Source organism: Homo sapiens, chromosome 8 (genome assembly GCF_000001405.40).
Source record: "Homo sapiens chromosome 8, GRCh38.p14 Primary Assembly".
NCBI classification, from domain to species: domain Eukaryota; kingdom Metazoa; phylum Chordata; class Mammalia; order Primates; family Hominidae; genus Homo; species Homo sapiens.
This window is the reverse complement of record NC_000008.11, coordinates 142,480,853-142,500,886: the sequence shown is the minus strand read 5'-3', so window position 1 is coordinate 142,500,886 and position 20,034 is coordinate 142,480,853. Positions and strand designations below refer to the sequence as shown.

Below are 20,034 nucleotides of genomic sequence, written 5' to 3'. Positions count from 1 at the left end.
GATCTCCAGGCTGACCCCACTCCCTGCAGTCATCTCTGGTGACCTCCAGATTGTTCCACCATCCCCCTGCTTCCAGGCACCTGTGCACCAAGGGCAAGGTCAGAGAATGGACACTCAGGGCCACTCTGCCCTCCTTGCTCACGTGGAAGTCCTTCCCTTTGTCTACCTCATATCCTGCCTTCCCACATCCTTCAGAACAGTCAGTCAGTCACCACCCTCCCTCTCTGACCTCAGGGTAACACTGAGGGGCCTGGGAAGGTGGGGCTTTGATGAAGCCTTTTCTGCTGCCTTAAATGAGCCATTGTGCTCCTGGGGACAGGGACACGGGTGCTGAGCGGAAGAGGCTCACGGCCTTCCAGGCCCATCCCCGTGGCCTGGACCCCTGCAGCCGCCCCTCCACATGCCCTCGCCCCCACGAGGCATGACTGAGAGGAGCTCCCAAGGTGGAGGAGGGCATGGGGGGGTGGTGGAGGAGCGGTGTAGGGGGCGGGGGAGGAGCGGCGCGGGGGGCAGGGGAGGAAAGGCGCGGGGGGCGGGGGAGGAGCGGCGCGGGGGGCGGGGGAGGAGCGGCGCGTGGGGAGGTGGAGGAGCGGCGCGTGGGGAGGTGGAGGAGCGGCGCGTGGGGAGGTGGAGGAGCGGCGCGTGGGGAGGTGGAGGAGCGGCGCGGGGGGAAGTGGAGGAGCGGTGTGGGGCGGGGGCGAAACACAAATGTCCAGCCTGCCTGCCCCGATCCCAGGCAGCGCCGGACGGCAGCCATGGGACTGGCGTCTTGCATTGTGAGGAACGTGAGAAGCCCTGGGGGCCCCAGTCGCAGACCTGTCCGTGCTGAGGGAGGCTCAGACATGGCCCAGGAGCCAGCCCTACAGGCAGGGCTCCAGGACTAGGGCCGGCTGAGATGGCTGCCAGGGCCATCTGGGTGCAAAGGAACCGGGTGGGCATTGAGGGGTCGCTCCACTTGGGCCCAACCCATAAGCCTGCTGTGACCCCATTCTGAGTGCCAGCTTCTGGTCCAGGTCTGGGCCTGTCTGGCTCTTCCAAGCTCCTGGCAGAAGGCCCGGCACCGAGCAGGCACCCAGGAAGTGGCGGCCCTCTCCTTGCACGCCCCCGCTACCCCCAGCTATTCCATCTCTGCTCACCTTCAGGGCCAGAGAGCTCACCCTGTCTGCTTCTAAAAGGCGGCATGGGGACGCAGGCAAGGGGCCCCCGGAGGCCCAGGGCCTGAGCAGCCCCACCCACCCCAGCCGCTCCCAACCCCACCTCTCACAGACACCTCGCAGGCAGCGCTCCCACCGCGGCACTCCGCCTCTGGGCCTTTGAGGCGCCTGGGGCCTGGCGTGGACTCCAGCTCCCTCTTCATAGCCGGTGCATGCTCCCTCCCTTCCTCTAGGAAGCCCACTCCCAGAACTGGCCCCGAATCCCAGCACGCGGGTGGCCGTACCCCAAGTCTCCGGCCCCCAAGGGTGGCGCTCTTTTGAGCGGCTGCCTGCCATCCTCTCAGAAGCCGTCCTGGACTTGGAGGGTAGGACGGTGCCCACCTGCTGAGCAGCCCAACTCTCGTTCCGTAATACTCACAGCAGCCTGGCTTTAAAGACACGGGAGCCAAGACTAGAGGAGGGGGAAGTCACCCATAACCACCCTGCCAGTGAGGAACAGGGCCGGGGCTGGAGAAAGTCACCCACAGCCTCCCCGCCAGTGAGGAACAGGGCTGGAGCTCTGCCCCTCCCAACTGCCAAGCTACCCTGTGTGTGGGTGCCAGTGAGGGGCCTGCCTGGAGTGGGCATTCGCAGCCCACGGGCTCCCCCACTTGGCACAGCTGGGGTTGGTGGGGGATGGATAGCACTGCCCACCAGGAAAGGGGTGAGCAAAGGCCTAGCAGCCTGTGGTTGGGGCAGGCCTGGGAGCCACAGCCAAGCTCCCAAGAGAGGGAGAGAGAGGCTGGGGCCCCGGGGAGGCAGTGGCACAGAGGTCTGGCAGGCAGACTAGCGGGTCTGTTATGCCCACCTGTCCCCTCCTCCACTGCCGAAGCCCCTCCCAGCTATGCCACATGGGGGCTGTCACAGGCCATGCATCTGGCAGACTTTCTATAGAAGAAAAAGAATGGAGGCAGGAGGGGTAGTGTGGGCAGGGGAGGGGTGGGCAGGCGGGAGGTGTGCGGGGAGTGGTAGGCAGGGGAGGTGCAGCGGCCCTGGGCCCTTGCTGGTGGCTGGTGGTCTCCAGTTGCCCAGGAAGCTCCCTGGACTGGGAGGAGGGCACAGACTCTCAATATAGTGGTCCCTCATCTCCTGTCCCATTGCACAGTTAAGGAAACTGAGGCCTGGGCGCGCACAGCCAGTGTGGCCAGATCTACGAATTCTGTGCTTGAGGGAGGGGCTGCCCTGGCTGCCAGCCCCAACTATAAGACTTGCACGCCCCCAGCCCTCAGGACACAGAGGCCCAAGCAGGCACCCGGGGCAACTCACAGCTGCGTCCTGGGCAGCCTGAGTGTGTGAGCCAATGAATGTGGAAGCCCCCAGCTCCAGAGAGGGAGTGACCCTGTTAACACGGGGCACACTCAGACTCCCTGAACAAACTCCTCCTGAGGGGTGCTGTGTGCCTGGAGCCATGGCAGAGATCCAGGCCCTGCCCTCGGGGGCTTCTGCTCTGCTGGGGTAGGGTGGATCGAACACACACGGATCCAAGGATTCACTGCAGATCGGAGCCGCTGCCAGGAAGAAAGAGACAGGGGTAGGGGGGCAGGGCAGTGGGCAGAGACAGCCTGGAGCACGTGGAGAAGAGGGCACTGGGCAGGGACAGATGGGGTCCCAGAGTTCCCAAGCAGGCCCTGTGGGGGAGTAAGAGGGCCTGGGTAAGGGCAGCTGAGAGGCCCCTGGGCCAGGCAGAAGAGCTGGGTCCATTCCCAGATGCAGAGACCTTGGGCAGGCCCAAGGGTCTGTCCTGGACTGGGAGGAGGCTAGCCCACTCGAAGTTCAGGCCATGGGGGCTTGCCCGCAGCCGTGACCTTACGACCTGGTCCATTCCCTCCAGCTCTGAAAGCTGCCACGAGCCCCTGCATGGGCAAGGACCCTGCGCCCAGAAAGAACAGGCCCACACAGGCCTCTGCCAGCCCCTGCTGCCCCTACCCAAGGACCAACCAAGAGGACATTCAGAGAAAGGGGTACCCGGGAAGGGGCTGGTGCCAGGCCCAAGCTGCTGCAGGGGCAGAAGCTAGGCCAGGGTGGGCTCATCTTTGAGAGCAGCACTCCACCTCTCCCCTGTCCCCGAGGCCCCACCCAAGCTGGGAGAGGCTCATCCTCCTCCTCCCTCCTCAATCATGGTGCAGATACTGAGGCTCTTCCCAGGCCACCAAAGAGGCCTCTGTGTTGGGTGCGTCCCCTCCCCCTGCACCCCTCCCCCAGCCTCCTCTGCCCCCATCAGGAACCGGCCGGCGTGGGAGAGACTGAGCTGGGAACCGGCTGCTGACAGCGACCCGGGGACCCTGCCAAGTCTTCCTTCCGCTTCCCCCCCCTTGGCCTGCCCCCTCACTGCCCTCTCCAAGGAAACCAGGAAAGGGGTGGGTGAGGGAGAGGCTCTTAAAGGGACCAGGATGCTCGCTTGGGCAGGGGTCCCAGGGAGGGACCAGGGTCTGGGTCCCGAGCCAGGACAGCTGAACCTGACAGGGGCCCCACAGGAGGCAGGGCTGGAGGCCCGCACAGGCCAGATGGGAACAACCATGAGGTGGCCCTGGATCTGCCAGTGAGCACTCTGGGCCTCAGTCTCCTCAGCTGTAAAATCGGTTAATAAAGACGTGTGAGCTGAGACAGCCTGTGTGCACTGAGTGAGGCAGCTCTCATGGTGCCTGGCCTGAGGCTGAGCTTCAGGAAAGGAGTCCAGCAAATGTGCCTCTCACACGTCCTCCTTCCACACACGCCTACCAGGAGGGGACCATGTCTGGCAGAATAAGGGTTCTGAGAGCCAGCAAAGTTGGGAAACTCCCAGCCCAGTTGGACAGGAGTCTCCTGCAGGACTTCTCAGGTCATTATGGTCAATACGGACTTGGGAGCACACGGAACGCTGCCCTTCCTAAAGCCATGAGGATGGGCTGGCTTCTGGCAGAACACCCCATAAACGCTAGGGTAGCATGGTAAGGGCTTCAGGTCTGTGGCCCGGCTTGTACTAACATCCCCGCTCTGGGACTCCACTGAACCACGCTTCGAGTAAAGACAGAGTGCATGATCTTTCAGGATCTTGCTAGCTCTGACTTTTATACTCGGTAAACTCTGGGTTATTTACATTTTTTAAAGCAGTTTTAAAAGACTGAAAGATATTTGCAACTCTTACGTGTAAAACACCCAGGGAGCTGTCCTTTCAGGACCACAGAACCTAACTCCCAATGTGTGCTACTGGCCTCCATCAACTTCCTGTCACCCACCAGCCCATCCTTTTCTCCACCCATCATTCACTCATCCACTCATGTATCCAGCCACCCACCCAGCCGTCCATACCTCCATTCACACATCCAGTCACCCACACACCTATCCACCCACCTATTCACCCATCTATCCATCTACACATCCAGCCAGCCACCCACCCATCCATACCTCCATCTGCACATCCAGCCACCCACACACCCATCTACCCACCCATCTATTCACCCATCCACCCATCTACCATCTCTACATCCAGCCAGCCACCCATCTATCCATCCACCCATACCTCCATCCACACATTCAGTCATTCACGCACCCATCCACCCACCCACCCACACACCTATTCACCCGTCCACCCATCTACCATCTATACATCCAGCCAGCCACCCACCCATCCATCCATACCTCTATCCACACATCCAGTCATTCACACACCCACCTATCCATCCACCCATTCACCTATTCACTCATCCATCTATCTACCATTTACACATCCATCCAGCCACCCACGTATCCATCCACCCATCCACCCACCCACCTATCCATCCACCCACCCGCCCACCCACTCATGCACTCATCCACCCACCCATCTACTCATCCATCCATCCATCATCCACTTCTCCCCAATATATGTCCAAGTCCTAACCCCCAGAACCTACGAATATGATTTTATTTGGAAACATGGTTTTTGTAGATGTAATTGAGTTATGGATCTTGACTGATACCACACTGGGTTTGGCGGGGGGGCACAGATCCATTATTGGGGTCCTTACAAGAAGAGGAAAGTACAGAGATACACAAGACAGAAGGCCAGGAAAAGACAGCAGCAGAGACTGGAGTGACGCCGCCACAAGCCAAGGAACACCAAGGATTTCCTAGAGCCACCAGAAGCTGGAAGAGGCAAGGAAGGAATCTTTCCTAGAGCCTTTGGAAGGAGCATGGCCCTACTAACACTTTGATTTCAAGATTCTGGCCTCCAGAACTGGGAGATAATAGATATCTGTTGTTTTAAACCACCTGGTTTGTGGTAATTTTGGCAGTTTGTTAGGGCAGCCCTGGGAAACTGAATCTCTATCCTTCCAGACACCTTCCATCTTCTTTCCTTCTCTCAGTCACCCATCCATCCACCCCTGTCTCTAGCCTTCCATGCATGCTGTCATCCACAGTCCGCCCACCCACCCTTTCCCATGCCAGCCATCACTGGTCACTCACCCAGCCATGAGACTGTTCTTCCGCTGCCTCCCCATCCCCCAGCAACCCACAGCTGCACCCTGGGTGCATCCCTCTGGCAAACAGCCGGCTCCCACAGATTATCCACACCCCCGCTTGTCCACACTGCCTACCAAGAACCCCTTCGCACATCCATTTCTGCATTCAGCCACGTAATCACTGCCTTGCTCATAAACCACTGTTGATTCTCACTGGGTCAGGGCTCAATTCTAGGGATACAGACATGACTTTGACATAACTGCCACTGTCCCCGCCCTCCACCCCACTCCAGTAGAGACACCTGTGGTCAAGGAACTATACAGGGATGGGCTACGGTAGGGGCAGTGTCTATGGCTTGAAACATATGAGAACTCTGCAACCCCCACCCCCCGCTTTGCTCCCCATTTTCCTCCCTAGCATCCCCATTCCCCAGGCCCTCAGCACTACAAGCCAGGCTGGTGCAGGGGTGTGGGGGAGCAGGAGCACCTGAGCCATGCTGCCAGGCCAGCGTTCAGGACTGGATGACCCAGGGTGTTTGGGCCTGGGAGGTTGGGGTTTGGTTACGGATCTAGTTGCTGGGGTGCAGGGACACCAGGTGCTCTTAGGGCTCAGGGTTTACAGAGCATGAGCAGACATCATGGGCTTGAGTGTTGAGCCCATGGGTGCAAGTGTGTCTGCACAACCGGGGTGAGGCAGGCAGGTGACTTGCATTGCAGTGGAAGCCTGTAAGTCTTTCTAGGCTGAGTGGGTCACATGGTCAGTTGCTGTATGTGGCTGGAAGAGGAGGTGGCCCTACAAGCATGTGACACACACAAGTCATTCCAGCTAAGACACCAGAGCAGGACTCAGCCTGTGACCAGGATCAGGGCCCAGTGTATGACCAAGGTCAGGACTATGTGTGGCTAAGATCTGGGCTCAATGTATGAACTGGGCCAGGGCTCAGCCTGTGACCAGGATCAGGGCTTAGTATGTGACTAGGATCAGGGCTCAGCCTATGACCAGGATCAGGGCTCAGTGAGTGAGTAGGATCAGAACTCAGTGTGTGAACAGGGTAAAAACTCAGTCTGAGTTTGGGATCTGGGCTCTATCTGTGACCAGTTCAGTTCTGAATAATGATTACAGCTCTAAGAGTTCACTACTTCTCAGCTGATGGTGACTGATGGCTCTCACTCCCCTCCCGCCACAAACCACTGTGCTCCTCACACACAGAACCCCTCCCCAGACGCATGAGACTCTTTCCCATCCAAGTGCACACCGACACAGGCCCACACCAGCTTGGACCCGGTCCCTTGGTGCCCTGGTGGAAACAGACCTGGGCCCCTGCCCGTGGTCTCCACTTCAGGTCAACTGGGAAACTCAGCTCCCCGGAGACAGTTCACAGGGCGAGGAGTGGCCCCTGCAGCAGTCAAGGGAGGTGCCATCCAACTCAGAGTGGAGGGGAGGTGAGGGGCAGAAGGAAGGGGACCGAGGTCAGTCCCAGTCCTTCCCTGCCAGCCGTGGCCCGCCCTCTAGGGCTCCAGGCTGCCCAGTTCCAGAGCAGAAGGCCTCGATCACTGCGCTGTGCTTTCAGCGGGACTGTAGGAGTCTCAGGGCCTCAGCTCCTCACAGGCAGCAGGTGTGCAGCGTGGCCTGGCTGCCGGGCAGGGTCAAGGACCCAAGAGGCAACTTGGGCACAATGCTGCCAGGCACTGCGTGGGCCACACCGGCACCTGCCTCCTGTCCTCCTGTCCTGAAGTCCTGGACCCAGGCACCAAGACCTTAGCACTCAGCGCACCCAGCCGGTGACGGGGTGGGTGGAACACCTGGTGTGACTGGCGGGTCCTGGGCCTTCCCCACACCTGTGACTTTTAGGGTCGACAGAGGCCACGCGGACGCCAAACACCCTGGGGACTTGACCGCCGTCCTGCTGCCCCCGCCCCTGCCTAAAAGCAGGCAGACCCTGGCCATAGGGTCAGGAAGCCAAGGCTCCCAGGGCACAGGCTCTGCCCAAGGCCACGCAGCATGTCCTCTTCGGCCACAGTTGGGTCCCTGGGGCAGTGTCCTTGTCCCGGCTCACTGGACAGGCCCCTCACAGCCTGCTGCCCTGGAGGACAAAGGGGATGCTTTCCTTTCTAAAAAGCAATTTACTCTGCAGGCCCCCCAGGGGCCCACACCCTCCACCTGACAAGACTGCCTGGGGACTGATCCCCAGGGAGCAATCAGAAGTACGGGTGAAGCTGTCCTCGCAAGATCGCTGGTCACGCTGGCATTTATGCTGGTAGAGAGGGAAGGCTCCTGAAGGCCACCAGCAGGGGCTGGTTGAGTGAACCAGGGCGCAGCCCCCCGAGAGCTGCCGCGGCCGGCGAACAGCCCGGATGGAGGGTTTCTGCACTGTGGGGAGGGGCCTGTGCTGGTGGAAGTGCTGGGGCTGTGGGGGTGAGAGACCCACCTGCAGCCCCCGCACTGCCACCCCCTGAAAATGCAAAGCCCAGGGGTGGGCCTGGGTCATGCAAGCAGGGGGGCTTTCTTCTTGCATTTTCTTTTTCCACCCTTACGAGAGCTAGAGAGCTGGCTCCCCAGGGCTGCAGGGCACCCAGCTTTCCCCAGCCCAGCTGCCAACCCCAGACCCAGGGCAGGAAACATAGCAGAGTCCACCATGTGGGGTGCAGAGAAGGCAGGAGCCTGGTGTGACCTGCCAATCCCACCTTGAGGCCTTTGCCCCGGCTGCTCCTTCCCCTGCGACGCTCATCCCCAGACACTCACACGCAGAGCTGTGCTTGCCAGGCCTCTGCCGAAACCTCCCCTTCCCTCGGAGGCGTGCATGACCCTGCTTGCAAAGGCCCCTCCCCACCCGCATCCAGACCCTGCTAGCTTCCCTTCCCGGCCCATGCACGGCCGGGCATCACCACACTGCTCCGTCTGTCCCTGTTCCCCATCCCTCCTCACTGGGGAGAGGAGGCTAAAGGCTGGGACCTGCCAGAATAGTGCCCATCAGAGGGTAGTGACCGCCGGAGGAAGGGTGGTGAGCAGTGGGCGATGGGCGGATGGATTAAAGAACAGGCGGACGGAGGAGCGGTGGATGGGTGGTGGGTAGAAGGTGGTGGCAGTGGATATAGATTAAAGAACAGGTGGACGAAGGAGAGGGTTGATGGTTGGTGGGTGGAGGGTGGTGGCAGTGGGTATAGATTAAAGAACAGGCAGACAGAGGAGAGGGTGGATGGGTGGTGGGTAGGTGGAGAGTCATGACACCCAGCCCCCACTAACTGTCCTCACCCTGCCGCGGCCTCCCCTGAGCCCCTGCCTGCCTCTGCCTGCTCCTCCTGGCCGGCTCCCTGCTCCTCATGCCCTCAGCCTCCCTGCCCTTGCTCCAGCTGTCTCCTCCTGAGCCACCTGCCTCCCTCTCCCTGTCAGGCAGCCTTGTCCTCCAACGCCTGCCACTCACAGAGCCTTCCCTTGTCACTGAACTACCCACCACGCAAGGGACCATCACAAGTGCCACCGGCACCCAGGTGGCCATGCTGACCGCACACACTCGGCCCGGGAAAGGGGTGCAGGGAGGCCTGAGGCTGGTGATGTCAGAGCAGCCAGGAGGGACTGGGGCTGAGGGAGCCGGAGGAACACGCTCGGAGGAGGCGGGCGGCAGGGTGCACACACCCAGGTCCCCGACCACACACTGAGGACCCCTCAGGCCGGAGCCGCATGTTGGGACCCGGCCGCCATCGCTCTATCCATCTCCCCACGTCCTGGCCTAGCTCAGCCCTGGGCGCTGGCACTTTGGGCCTTTACACAGACTCTTCCTGTGACTGGGCGAGCTTCTCTTCGCTGCCCCCACCTTGCTGTCTGGGAGGATGGCCCCACTCTGGCACACCCACCAGGGCCCCGAGATGGCACCCCACAGCCTGACTGCTCCTTGCGGAACCCCACATGGGGCGTGGAACTTGCTCCAGCTGTGCCACAGCGCCTGGGCCAGCCGGCACCCAACAAGTGCTTGGCCTGCAACTGGCACAGGATATATGGCCACTGAAGACCCCAGGGGCCCACGCCCCCATCTGATGAGCCTGAAGTTCCAGTTCCACTCCATGCTGCCCTGGTCTGTCATGGAAGCTTTCGCAGCCCCTCAGTGCCTGGCACCCACCTGCAGACCTGAATGTCAGGATTCCACCTGCTGTGGGCATGGGGCTGGGGGCTGGGGGCAGGTGGCAGGCCAGGACGCCTGCCCATCACCTGGCCTGTGGTTGGACCTCCACGTCCGCTCCTCCCTGAACTGTGGACATCCCTGGGAGGGGGTGGGAGGCGGCCTGGTGGGCTCCAGAGCCAGACAGTGAGTGACAGGTGGTGACACGGAGGCCCATGCGGGTACACAGACAGCTGGGGGGCAAGTGGACAAGACCTGAAACCTGCACCCCTCCCCTACTGGGCCAGCCTCCCACGAACCCCACCCCAGACCCCCACGGCCATGAAATCCAAGTGAACTTACACATCCGTCTCATCCCACAGGATACAGGTCTGGTTGGTGGTGCCCTGGGAGAGAGGGGAGAGGAGTCAGGGCCCCTGGCAGCCAGGACCAGCCCCCACCCTCGGGTCACCATGGGACCCACCTAAAGGTGTGCTACCAGGCATGCTACCTGTGCGGGTCCCTGAACAGACTGCGTTTTGCGAGGAGGAAACTGAGTCCAGGGTGGAGACAGCAGTGGCCCAAGGTCACCTGGGCTTGGCACAAGCCCCCACCACCCATGTGGCCTCGGGCAGCTCCTGGCCCCTCCCAGAGCCCAGGTCCAGTGGCCAGGCTGGGCAGCAATGGCTGAAGTCCGTCTCTGGTATGAAGTAGGGTGATGGGAAGACCCTTCCCCCGGGGCCTAGTGAGCAGGGGTCACCGGGCACACAGTGGCCTCTGTAAGCACCCTGCACTGCTCTGACGTCCTGCTAGCATTCCTGGGACACAGCCTTGCCAGGCCTGCCACACACTAGCACTGCCAAGATGGGGCAGTGACAGCAGAGATGGCCACAGCTCCTGAGGGTGGCTCTCAGGTGTGGCCTGCTCTGAGCAGCTGTGAGACTCAGTCCTCACCCAGCCCTATTGTTCCCACTTGATAAGGGAGGGAACCATGGCACGGAGAGGCTGAACAACTCTCCCAAGGTCACACAGCTAGAAAGGACAGGGCTGGGTTCTCCCGTGGCTTCCTACAGCCCTGGCCTGGGCTGGAGGCCTGGCACTGCCCAGTCCTGGTGCGGTAACCCAGGCAACGTGTTCCCTGGGGGCCCTGGTTCTCGGCCCATCAGAAGGGCATCTCGGCCCCTACTCCTCTGAGGCCCAAGGAAGGGCTCTGGAGAGCTCCAAGGAGCAGGGTTGGGACCTGGCAGGGCTCACATAGCAGCCGTGGCCTGGAGGCTGGGGCTTCCCGCCAGGGAGTTCTGGGGGGACGCTCCCGTGCTGAAATCCCAGGGCCCCTGCAGGCGAGGCCTGGTGTCAGTCCTGGCGGTGCCGGCAGAGGGTGTACTTACACCCCCAGCTTCTTGGTGGCCAGGCGTTAGGGGGCCAGAAGTCATGGGACGGGCTCCACTTCTCAGAAGCGGAATGACCAGGCCAATGGGGGCTGGAGGGCAGAGTGGTTGGAGCCCAGGTGGGGAGTCAGGCACAGATGGGGTTTCGGCACCTCACTTGCTGTGTGACCCCGGGCAAGTCACCGCACCTCTCTGAGCCTGTTTCCCCACCTGTAATCCAGGGATAAAAGTAGCTCTCGAAGGTTAAAGCTGTTGTGAGGAGGCCCCAAAGGCTTAGTGGCTGAGGAGTGGGACAGAATTCGCGCACACGCGTTTCTGCTGGCATCAGAGTGTGCACGTGGACGGCACTCACATTATACATGTGGGCAAACTCGATCTCCAAGGGTGTGCGCAGGGAGCGAGGCGGGGGTTTCACAGTCACGGAGATCACCTTAGAATTCAGGACGGTCGTGTTCCTGCAAGAGCCAGAGGCACAGGTGTCGGGGGAGCCCTCCCAGCCCAGGCTCCTCCTGGCCCTTCCCCAGGTGCCCCCGAGGGCCCCTGTACCCGCCGCCACCCTCCACAGCCCATCATCCACACTCCTCCAGGCCCCCTGGCCTCCCCCTTCACATCCTGTGGCTGGGGTCCTGCCCACCCCACCTGCCCTGCACTGCCCACCCCACCTGCCCAGGGCTCCCCACCTCTGCAGGGCCAGGAAGCTGCCCAGGTTCCTGTAGAGCACGGTGCCCACCACAAACACGGATGCTTCATCGGCCTCTGGAAGAAAGTGCACTGTCAACCCCGGCCCGCCATCCCCACAGCCAGGGTGGGACTTGGCAGCCTGGCCTGGACCCCGCTGTCACTGGCATCTGCCGCCCATCTTCAAGGTCGCGTCCAGGGCCCTGGCGGATGGTGAGGCCCACCCACCCACGGACACAGTGCTGCAGCCAGGGAGCTGGGGCAACAGCCACGTGGGAAGAGGGAGACCGGGCCATTCCCTGGGGCATCCTGAGAGCTACGGGCAGGCAGGACATGGCTCTCTTCCAGGTAACAGGGTCCTTGACACGTGACTCCCTGTCCCTCCCTGAAGCAAGGTGGTTCATCTTGACCCCTCTGCCTGGGCCTCAGGGTTGATCCGCAGGCCCTGGCCCCAGAGAGGGCAAGGAGGGCTTCCTGGAAAAGAGGACCCCCTTGAGAACCGCCCAACTCTGAGGCAGCAGCTAGACTCCAGAAGGGTGGTGACCGTCCGACTCTGGGGCCCACGTCCCCCATGAAGGTCCCCCTCCACTCCCTGGGCCCCTCACCTGTCAGCCCCGTGGAGAAGACACTCTTGGACACAGTGACCCTGTCCTCTGGCACCTTGGCCCAGTCACCCGTGGCCCGCCAGCCCTTCATGGGGAAGCTGATGTCAGTGGCTCCGCTGGCTGGGAGCTTATGGATGCTGAGAACTGGGAGCAGGGTCAAAGGCGGGAGAGACAGAGAGGAGGGAAAGTCACAGATGTGGCGGGGCCTCAGCTGCGGGAGTTGAGGTGCAGGCCTGGCAGTGCAGGCTGATGCCGCGGGGTGCCCATGGCTCAGAGGCAGGAGTGTGGGGGCCATCTGCCCCAGCCCCAGCCCCCAGAACCTCGGTGAGGTCCAGGAGCAGAGACAGCAAGGAGCACCAGGCAGAGGCTGGGCCGGTCCTGGTCCTGCTGAATTGGAGCCTCGGTGAGGGGCAGGGAGCCTGCCCCTCCCACCCTCCATGGCCCAGAAGGTGGTCAAAGGCAGATTCTGGGGTCTGTCCTGTGGCCATGGAGGGATCCGCAGGCACCAGGCACCTCCTCAGCGCCCCCCACTCCCTCCTGGGACAGGGGAGCCCAGCTGCCCTCCAGCTCTGTGAGCTGATCCCGCCTCCCCTCCCTCTGTAGAAGGGGGATGGGGGCTGCCCTGCCTCAGGGCTCAGGCATCAAAGGGCAGTATGGGCCACGGTGAAAGAAGGGATCCAGTGTTCCCTCCCATTCTGGGAAGGAAGGCATTGGGGGTGCGGAAGGGCCCTGAGCTCAGGGTGGATGGGCATGGGGATGAGGCAGCACGTTTAGGGGCAAATGGACGTGGGGACGAGGCAGCAGGTTTGGGGCAACTGGACGGGAAGAGAGTTTGGGGAAGTGCCGCTGGGGTGGAAGCAGGTGCTGACAGGGACCCACTGTTCTGGGGGAACCTGGCCCTGGGGCCGTGGCCTCAGCCCTCACAGGCCCCAGTGGAGCCTCAAGAATGCAGCCCAAGATGCGGCAGGGAGAGGAGGAGAGGGCATGCGCATCAGTAGCGCCAAATGCAGTGGGCGGCACGGATGCCCGAGAACAGGGTTTTGCACCATGGATGTCACTGGCAGCCCCAGTGGAGGGCAGAGGGAATTCGGACTGGGTCAGCACCCAGTGAGCGGAGGGGCAGGAGGGACCATCAGAGAACCGGGGGTGAGGACAAGAAGAAATGTCAAAGGGCAGGTGGCCTGCAGGGGCAAGGGGCTGCTGGGAAGCTGCAGCGGGGAATGGGGGCAGACGGACGCTGGAGCAGCACCCTGGAGCAGGCGAAGGGGTGGGAGGCTGGACACAGGGTCATCGAGGGGCGGTGGAGGGCTGGCATGGGCACCAGGGTGGGCTGTGGCAGGTGTGCCCGGGTAAGGGGCAAACTTTGAAATATTTCATTGGAACAAGATGAAAAGTGGCAGAATTATTGAAGTAGTAGCAATCAGTCGTGTTGATGTTTCTAGCTGAGGCATTTCACTATGGAAAAATCAGAACTTTGTCTTTTTTTGTTCTTTAAAGAGACAGCCTATTGCTCAGGCTGAAGTGCAGTGGTGTGATCACAACTCACTGCAGCCTCGACCTCCTGGGCTCAAGCGATCCTCCCACCTCAGCCTCCCTAGTAGCAGGGACTAAAGGTGCACCACCATGCCTGGCTAATTTTTTTAAAAACATTTGTAGAGACAGGGTCCCACTGTGCTGCCCAGGCTGGTCTCAAACTCCTGGGCTCAAGCGATCCTCCTGCCTTGGCCTCCTGAACTGCTGGGATTACAGGCGTGAGCCGCTGTGCCTAACCTCAGTCTTTAATTTAAAAGGTTAATGCTAGTTAGCCTCCCAAAGACATTATAATAAGAATGTCGATCCGTCTTGGACATGTTTTAGTGGGACTTGTTCAAGTACAATAGGCACGAAGCTATGGTTTCCACCAGACACGTCTGAATGCCGCCTGCAGTACAGGTCTGGTCACGTGGAAGTTAGGGTTGCTTAACTTAAATATCCTCGGACTGTGTCTGTTTTAGGCCTGGGGATGGGACACCTCGGGAGTGCCAAGCACCTTGTGCCGAGATGAATATTGAAATGGACATTTCTACTGGTGAAAACACTGGGTCATCAACCCGGTCATGGCAGGTCTCTGGGTTTAAGGTTGGCTGCAGGGATCAGAGTTCGAGCCTTCATAGTCTGTCTACATGCAGCTTCTGTGTCACTTTGGCCTACAGCTCTGACAGTCGGGAGGGATTATTCCTTTCATCTGGTTTGCATAAACAGATGCGATGGGAAGCCGCTCTTGCTGGCGTCCAGTTCTTGGCAGCTGAGTGAGGGAGGGATGTAGGGGTGGGGGCCTGGGCAGAGAAGCAGGGTCCTGGGAGTGAGTGAGGCTGAGCACAGCTGAGTGGAGCATATGGGATGCACAGGGTGTCTGTGGTGTGCTATAGCTTGAATGTGTCCTGTAAACGTTCACGTGTTGGAAATTGAATCCCCAATTTCATCTGCTAATGGTACTTGGTGGTGGGGCCTTTGGGAGGGCGAGGGTGGCCCCCATGATGGCTTTAGTGGTATTATGGGAAGGGAGACCTCAGCGGGCATACTTGCTCTGTCTCTCATGGGCTGCCTCTGCCATGCTGTGCTGCAGCAGGAGGGTGCTCACTCAGAGCTGGAGCTGTGATCTTGGACTTTCCGGCCTCCAGAACCTCTCATCTTTATAGATTACCCCTTCAGTGACAGCAACAGGAAATGGACTGAGACAGGGTTATGAAGCATGTGGGGTAACCACGGTGCTCAGGGTTTGAAGCGTGTGTGGGCCATTCCAGGGGCTGTGGGCTGTGCCGAGTGCTCTGGGAGCTGGCTACCAGTTACGTCCTGGGCACCAGTATAGGCACTGGGCAAGGCCCCAGGGTGTGTGTGCTGACAAAGCTCAGCTGATCCTGGTCATATCACTAAAGGTGAAGCATCCCCACAGGGGAGGTGACACTCTCCCTCCTTGGTGCTAATTTTTTAAAAAACATTTGTAGAGACAGGGTCTCACTGTGCTGCCCAGGCTGGTCTCAAACTCCTGGGCTCAAGCGATCCTCCCACCTCGGCCTCCCTAGTAGCAGGGATCACAGCTGGGGCCAGCACCCACTCCTGGGTCCTCTGCTTTGAGAGACTCTCTGATCAAGGCAGGGAAAGTTTGAGAAACGTGGCTTTTGAGAGATATTTGAGGGCACTGTAGTAACAGTCATTAAATAGAATTGCTGTGTTTGTAATGACAGCCACCTTTTACCCCGGGATTCAGCCACTCACTCGTCTCATCAGTCTCTACCTCCCCATGAGATGGGCACCGTTATCATCTCATTTTAGAAATGAGGAAACTAAGACTCGGCTGACACCACGGAGCTGGGTGGAGTCCAGGCCCCTCTGGCAAGGCACTACTGGGACTGACAAGCAGGGAAAGTGTGGCTTGCACAGCCCCTGCCTCTAAAGCTCCACAGGGAGGGCACTGGGGGTGACAGGCAGAATACGCTCTGGCCCCAGGTGGGTACATGCGAAGCGCTGGTTGGGGACGGAGCTCCCAGGTCCACACCCCGTGGGCTGTGTCTCATCCCCTCCTAGGCCACATCATCAACCCTCAGGAGACTGAAAACAGGACCCATCTGAGAAATCGGCTGGGAGGGCCCACAAAGGCTGTCTGGTCACTGCCCCTTTATACAGATGAGGATGCTGAGGCAGAAGGGCCTGGCCCAGGGCTGCAAAGCAAGGCATGGGGGGTGGCAGCAGGCGGGCAGGCTTACCCAGGTTGTCTGTCACCTGGTATGCATCCCTCAGGTCCTTCATGCGGAAGCCGATGACGTCCACAAAGTCCTCCACCAGCCGGAACAGCTCCTTGGCGTTGGGGCCCGCCTGGAGGGCAGGGGGGTGAGCAGCCGAGGGAGGAGGCCCCACTGTCCCTTAGCCCCTGCCTCCTTCCCTTCCCTGTCCCTCCTTTTCTTATTGGCCATTTCCTAACATTTTGAGGAAGTGGGGCTGGTGACCTCTGAGTACCCCACTTTGGGGATGAGAAAGCAGATGCCCAGAGGGGCTGCTGTGCCCCACCCATGGGAAGCCCAGGATTGGGGAAAGTCTCTGGATACCCACAGCCCCCATGCCGGGTGCTGCCCGGGCTAGGAGTGGTGGCTGGCTGGAGGTCAGCCTGGGGGAGTGAGCACTGCCCACTGCCCCAACATGAGGAGGGCTCTATGTCCCAGCTGCCTTGGCATCCCCATGTGCTCAGTATTTTCTGGAACCTCCTCACTGAGCCCCAGGAAATAAATGACTGTCCTTAGACAAATGAGGAAACAGGCTAGGAATGCTGAGCTTCCTCAGTGCTGCCAACACCAGCAAGAGACCATCCTGAGATCCAAACCCAGAGCACCCGGCGGGACCCCACCCCAGGCCGACTGGAGACCAGGGAGGCACCAGCTGTGCCTGCACCCCTCCTGAGGCTGCTGACCGTAGGGGCCCCAGGCCCTACCAGCTGGGCCTCCTCCCACTTGTCCCGATTCTCCTCTGCCAACAGGTTGCTAAGGATCTGGACAAAGTTCTGGAAAGAAGAGGAAGAAGGGCCAGTGACAGAGAACAGGGCACAAAATCACCGTTCACTGTGACCAGGGTCAGGATTCAGTGTGTGACCAGGGTCAGGGCTGAATATGTGACCAGGATCAGGGCTCAGTGTGTGACCAGGGTCAGAGCTCACTGTGACCAGAGCCAGGGTTCAGTGTGTAACCAGGATCGAGGCTCAGTGTGTGACCAGGGTCAGGGCTCAGCATGTGACCAGGGTCAGGGTTCAGCATGTGACCAGGGTCAGGGTTCAGCATGTGACCAGTGCAGTGTCAGGGCTCAGTGTGTGACCAGGATCAGGGCTCAGTGTGACCAGGGTCAGGGCTCAGTGTGTGACCAGGATCAGGGCTCAGTGTGACCAGGATAAGGGCTCAGGGTGTGACCAGGGCCAGGGCTCAGTGTGTGACTAGGATTGAGGCTCAGCATGTGACCAAGGCCAGGGCTCAGTGTGTGACCAGGGCCAGGGTTCAGCATGTAACCAGGATTGAGGCTCAGTGTGTGACCAGGGTCAGGACTCAGCATGTGACCAGGGTCAGGACTCAGCATGTGACCAGTGTCAGGGCTCAGGGTGTGACCAGGGTCAGGGCTCAGCGTGTGACCAGGGTCAGGGCTCAGTGTGACCAGGGTCAGGGTTCAGCATGTGACCAGTGTCAGGGCTCAGTGTGTGACCAGTATCAGGGCTCAGTGTGACCAGGATCAGGGCTCAGTGTGTGACCAGGGTCAGGGCTCAGTGCGACCAGGGTCAGGGCTCAGTGTGTGACCAGGGTCAGGGCTCAGTGTGACCAGGGTCAGGGCTCAGCGTGTGACCAGGATCAGGGTTCAGCATGTGACCAAGGTCAGGGTTCAGCAGGTGACCAAGGTCAGGGTTCAGTGGGTGACCAGTGTCAGGGTTCTGAGTGTAACCAGGATCAGGGCTCAGTGTGACCAGGGTCAGGGCTCAGTGTGTGACCAGAATCAGGGCTCAGTGTGTGACCAGGATCTGGGCTCAGTGTGACCAGGGTCAGGGCTCAGTGTATGATCAGGATCAGGGCTCAGTTTGTGACAAGGGTCAGGACTCAGAGTGTGACCAGGATCAGGACATGGTGTGTGACCAGGGTTGGGGCTCAGTGCGTGACCAGGATTAGGGCTCAGCATGTGACCAGGGTCAGGGCTCAGCGTGTGACCAGAGCTCAGCGTGTGACCAGGATCAGGGCTCAGCTTATGACCAGAGCTCAGCGTGTGACCAGGGTCAGGGCTCAGCCTATGATCAGGGCTCAGTGTGTGACCAGGGCCAGGGTTCACTGTGTGACCAGGATCGAGGCTCAGCGTGTGACCAGGATCAGGACTCAGCATGTGACGAGGGTCAGGGTTCAGCATGTGACGAGGGTCAGGGCTCAGTGTGTGACCAGGATCAGGGCTCAGCATGACCAGGATCAGGGCTCAGTGTGTGACCAGGATCAGGGCTCAGTGTGACCAGGGTCAGGGCTCAGCGTGTGACCAGGATCAGGGTTCAGCATGTGACCAAGGTCAGGGTTCAGCAGGTGACCAAGGTCAGGGTTCAGTGGGTGACCAGTGTCAGGGTTCTGAGTGTAACCAGAATCAGGGCTCAGTGTGACCAGGGTCAGGGCTCAGTGTGTGACCAGGATCAGGGCTCAGAATGTGACCAGGATCAGGGCTCAGTGTGACCAGGATCAGGGCTCAGTGTGTGATCAGGATCAAGGCTCAGTGTGACCAGGGTCAGGGCTCAGTGTGTGACCAGGATCAGGGCTCAGTGTGTGACCAGGATCAGGGCTCAGTGTGACCAGGGTCAGGGCTCAGTGTATGATCAGGATCAGGGCTCAGTTTGTGACAAGGGTCAGGACTCAGAGTGTGACCAGGATCAGGACATGGTGTGTGACCAGGGTTGGGGCTCAGCATGTGACCAGGGTCAGGGCTCAGCCTATGATCAGGGCTCAGTGTGTGACCAGGGTCAGGGCTCAGTGTGTGACCAGAGCTCAGTGTGTGACCAGGATCAGGGCTCAGCTTATGACCAGAGCTCAGCATGTGACCAGGGTCAGGGCTCAGCCTATGATCAGGGCTCAGTGTGTGACCAGGGTCAGGGCTCAATGTGTGACCAAGATTAAATGTGTGACAAAGGTCAGAGTTCAACCTATGACATGGGTTAGGGCCTGGGCTGTGGCCAGGGTTGGGGATCCATCTCTAAGGTCGAGGAGGGCTCCCCAGACACCTTCCCGACACCCTCTTCCAAAATGCCGCTCGGGGAGCCCACCTGTACGTCCCCAGGGGTGGGGCTGTAGTACGCTCTCCGGAAAATCTCTGTCATGTTCCTCAGGACATCGATGGTGGACAGCAGGTCCCCACTGTAGCTGGTCCCGTCCTGAGAGATCTCCACCAGTGTCTGGATGACCTCCGAGACCCCCTCCCCAGGCAGCCCTCGCTGAGCCTTGGCCAGGTGCTCCCGGGTCTGCGGAAGACAGAGAGGGCGGGTGCCTTCACCTCTGTGGAACATGTCCAGGCAGCCACCCAGGATCTCCCATGCCTAGGACCCTCTGCAGGGTCCCAACCTGTGTGGCCAGGGTGATTGGGGAGGGGTTGGAGACCCCCGGGAACTGGCCCTCACCATCATCTGGATGTTTCTGTAGTCAATGGAAACACAGCGGATGTAGGTGGGGGGCTCCCAGTAGGCGATGCCTTCCTCGTCCAGCTCACACCGTCGCAGGATGAGTCCTGGGGAGACCATCCCCTTCTCAGGTGGATGCCCGCTGCCTGGCCCAGGAATCCCACCCTTGGCCCCTGGCAGCAGACCTTCTGGAAGGGACCCTGTGGCCCCCAGAAACAGGGACTCGCCCATGGCCTCACGCCGAGAGCAGAGTCCACGCAGGGACCTCGTTCCCTTCATCAACACATTTCCAGCTGCTACCTGCCCCAAGGACTCAGGACCTGGCAGGAGCTAAGCCTTCAGGAACCCCACTGCATGGAGGTGGAGATCTCGGCCGAGCAGGGCCTTCAGAGTTCAGCCATGACCTCCTTCGGAGCCCCTTCTAACCAACCCAGAGCCCTGGAGGGAGCCAGCACCCTGGGCCCCTGCCTGGCTGCATCCACAGGGCTACAGGGGCCTCAGCCTGGCC

General features: G+C 60.4%; 1 protein-coding gene across 17 annotated transcripts in view; it reads right to left on the bottom strand.

The window, feature by feature from the left end:
• ADGRB1 (adhesion G protein-coupled receptor B1) overlaps positions 1-20,034 on the bottom strand; it is a 95,359-nt gene that overhangs the window by 44,121 nt on the left and 31,204 nt on the right. For all 17 annotated transcript variants that reach the window (XM_017013695.2, XM_047422057.1, XM_017013691.2 and 14 more), the window contains 8 exons: positions 19,527-19,633; positions 19,176-19,370; positions 16,842-16,910; positions 16,123-16,231; positions 12,380-12,523; positions 11,777-11,852; positions 11,449-11,551; positions 10,072-10,115 (listed from right to left, as the gene is read on the bottom strand). In XM_017013695.2, the coding sequence (XP_016869184.1) occupies positions 10,072-10,115; positions 11,449-11,551; positions 11,777-11,852; positions 12,380-12,523; positions 16,123-16,231; positions 16,842-16,910; positions 19,176-19,370; positions 19,527-19,633 (847 nt within the window). The remainder of the gene's footprint in view (positions 1-10,071; positions 10,116-11,448; positions 11,552-11,776; positions 11,853-12,379; positions 12,524-16,122; positions 16,232-16,841; positions 16,911-19,175; positions 19,371-19,526; positions 19,634-20,034) is intronic.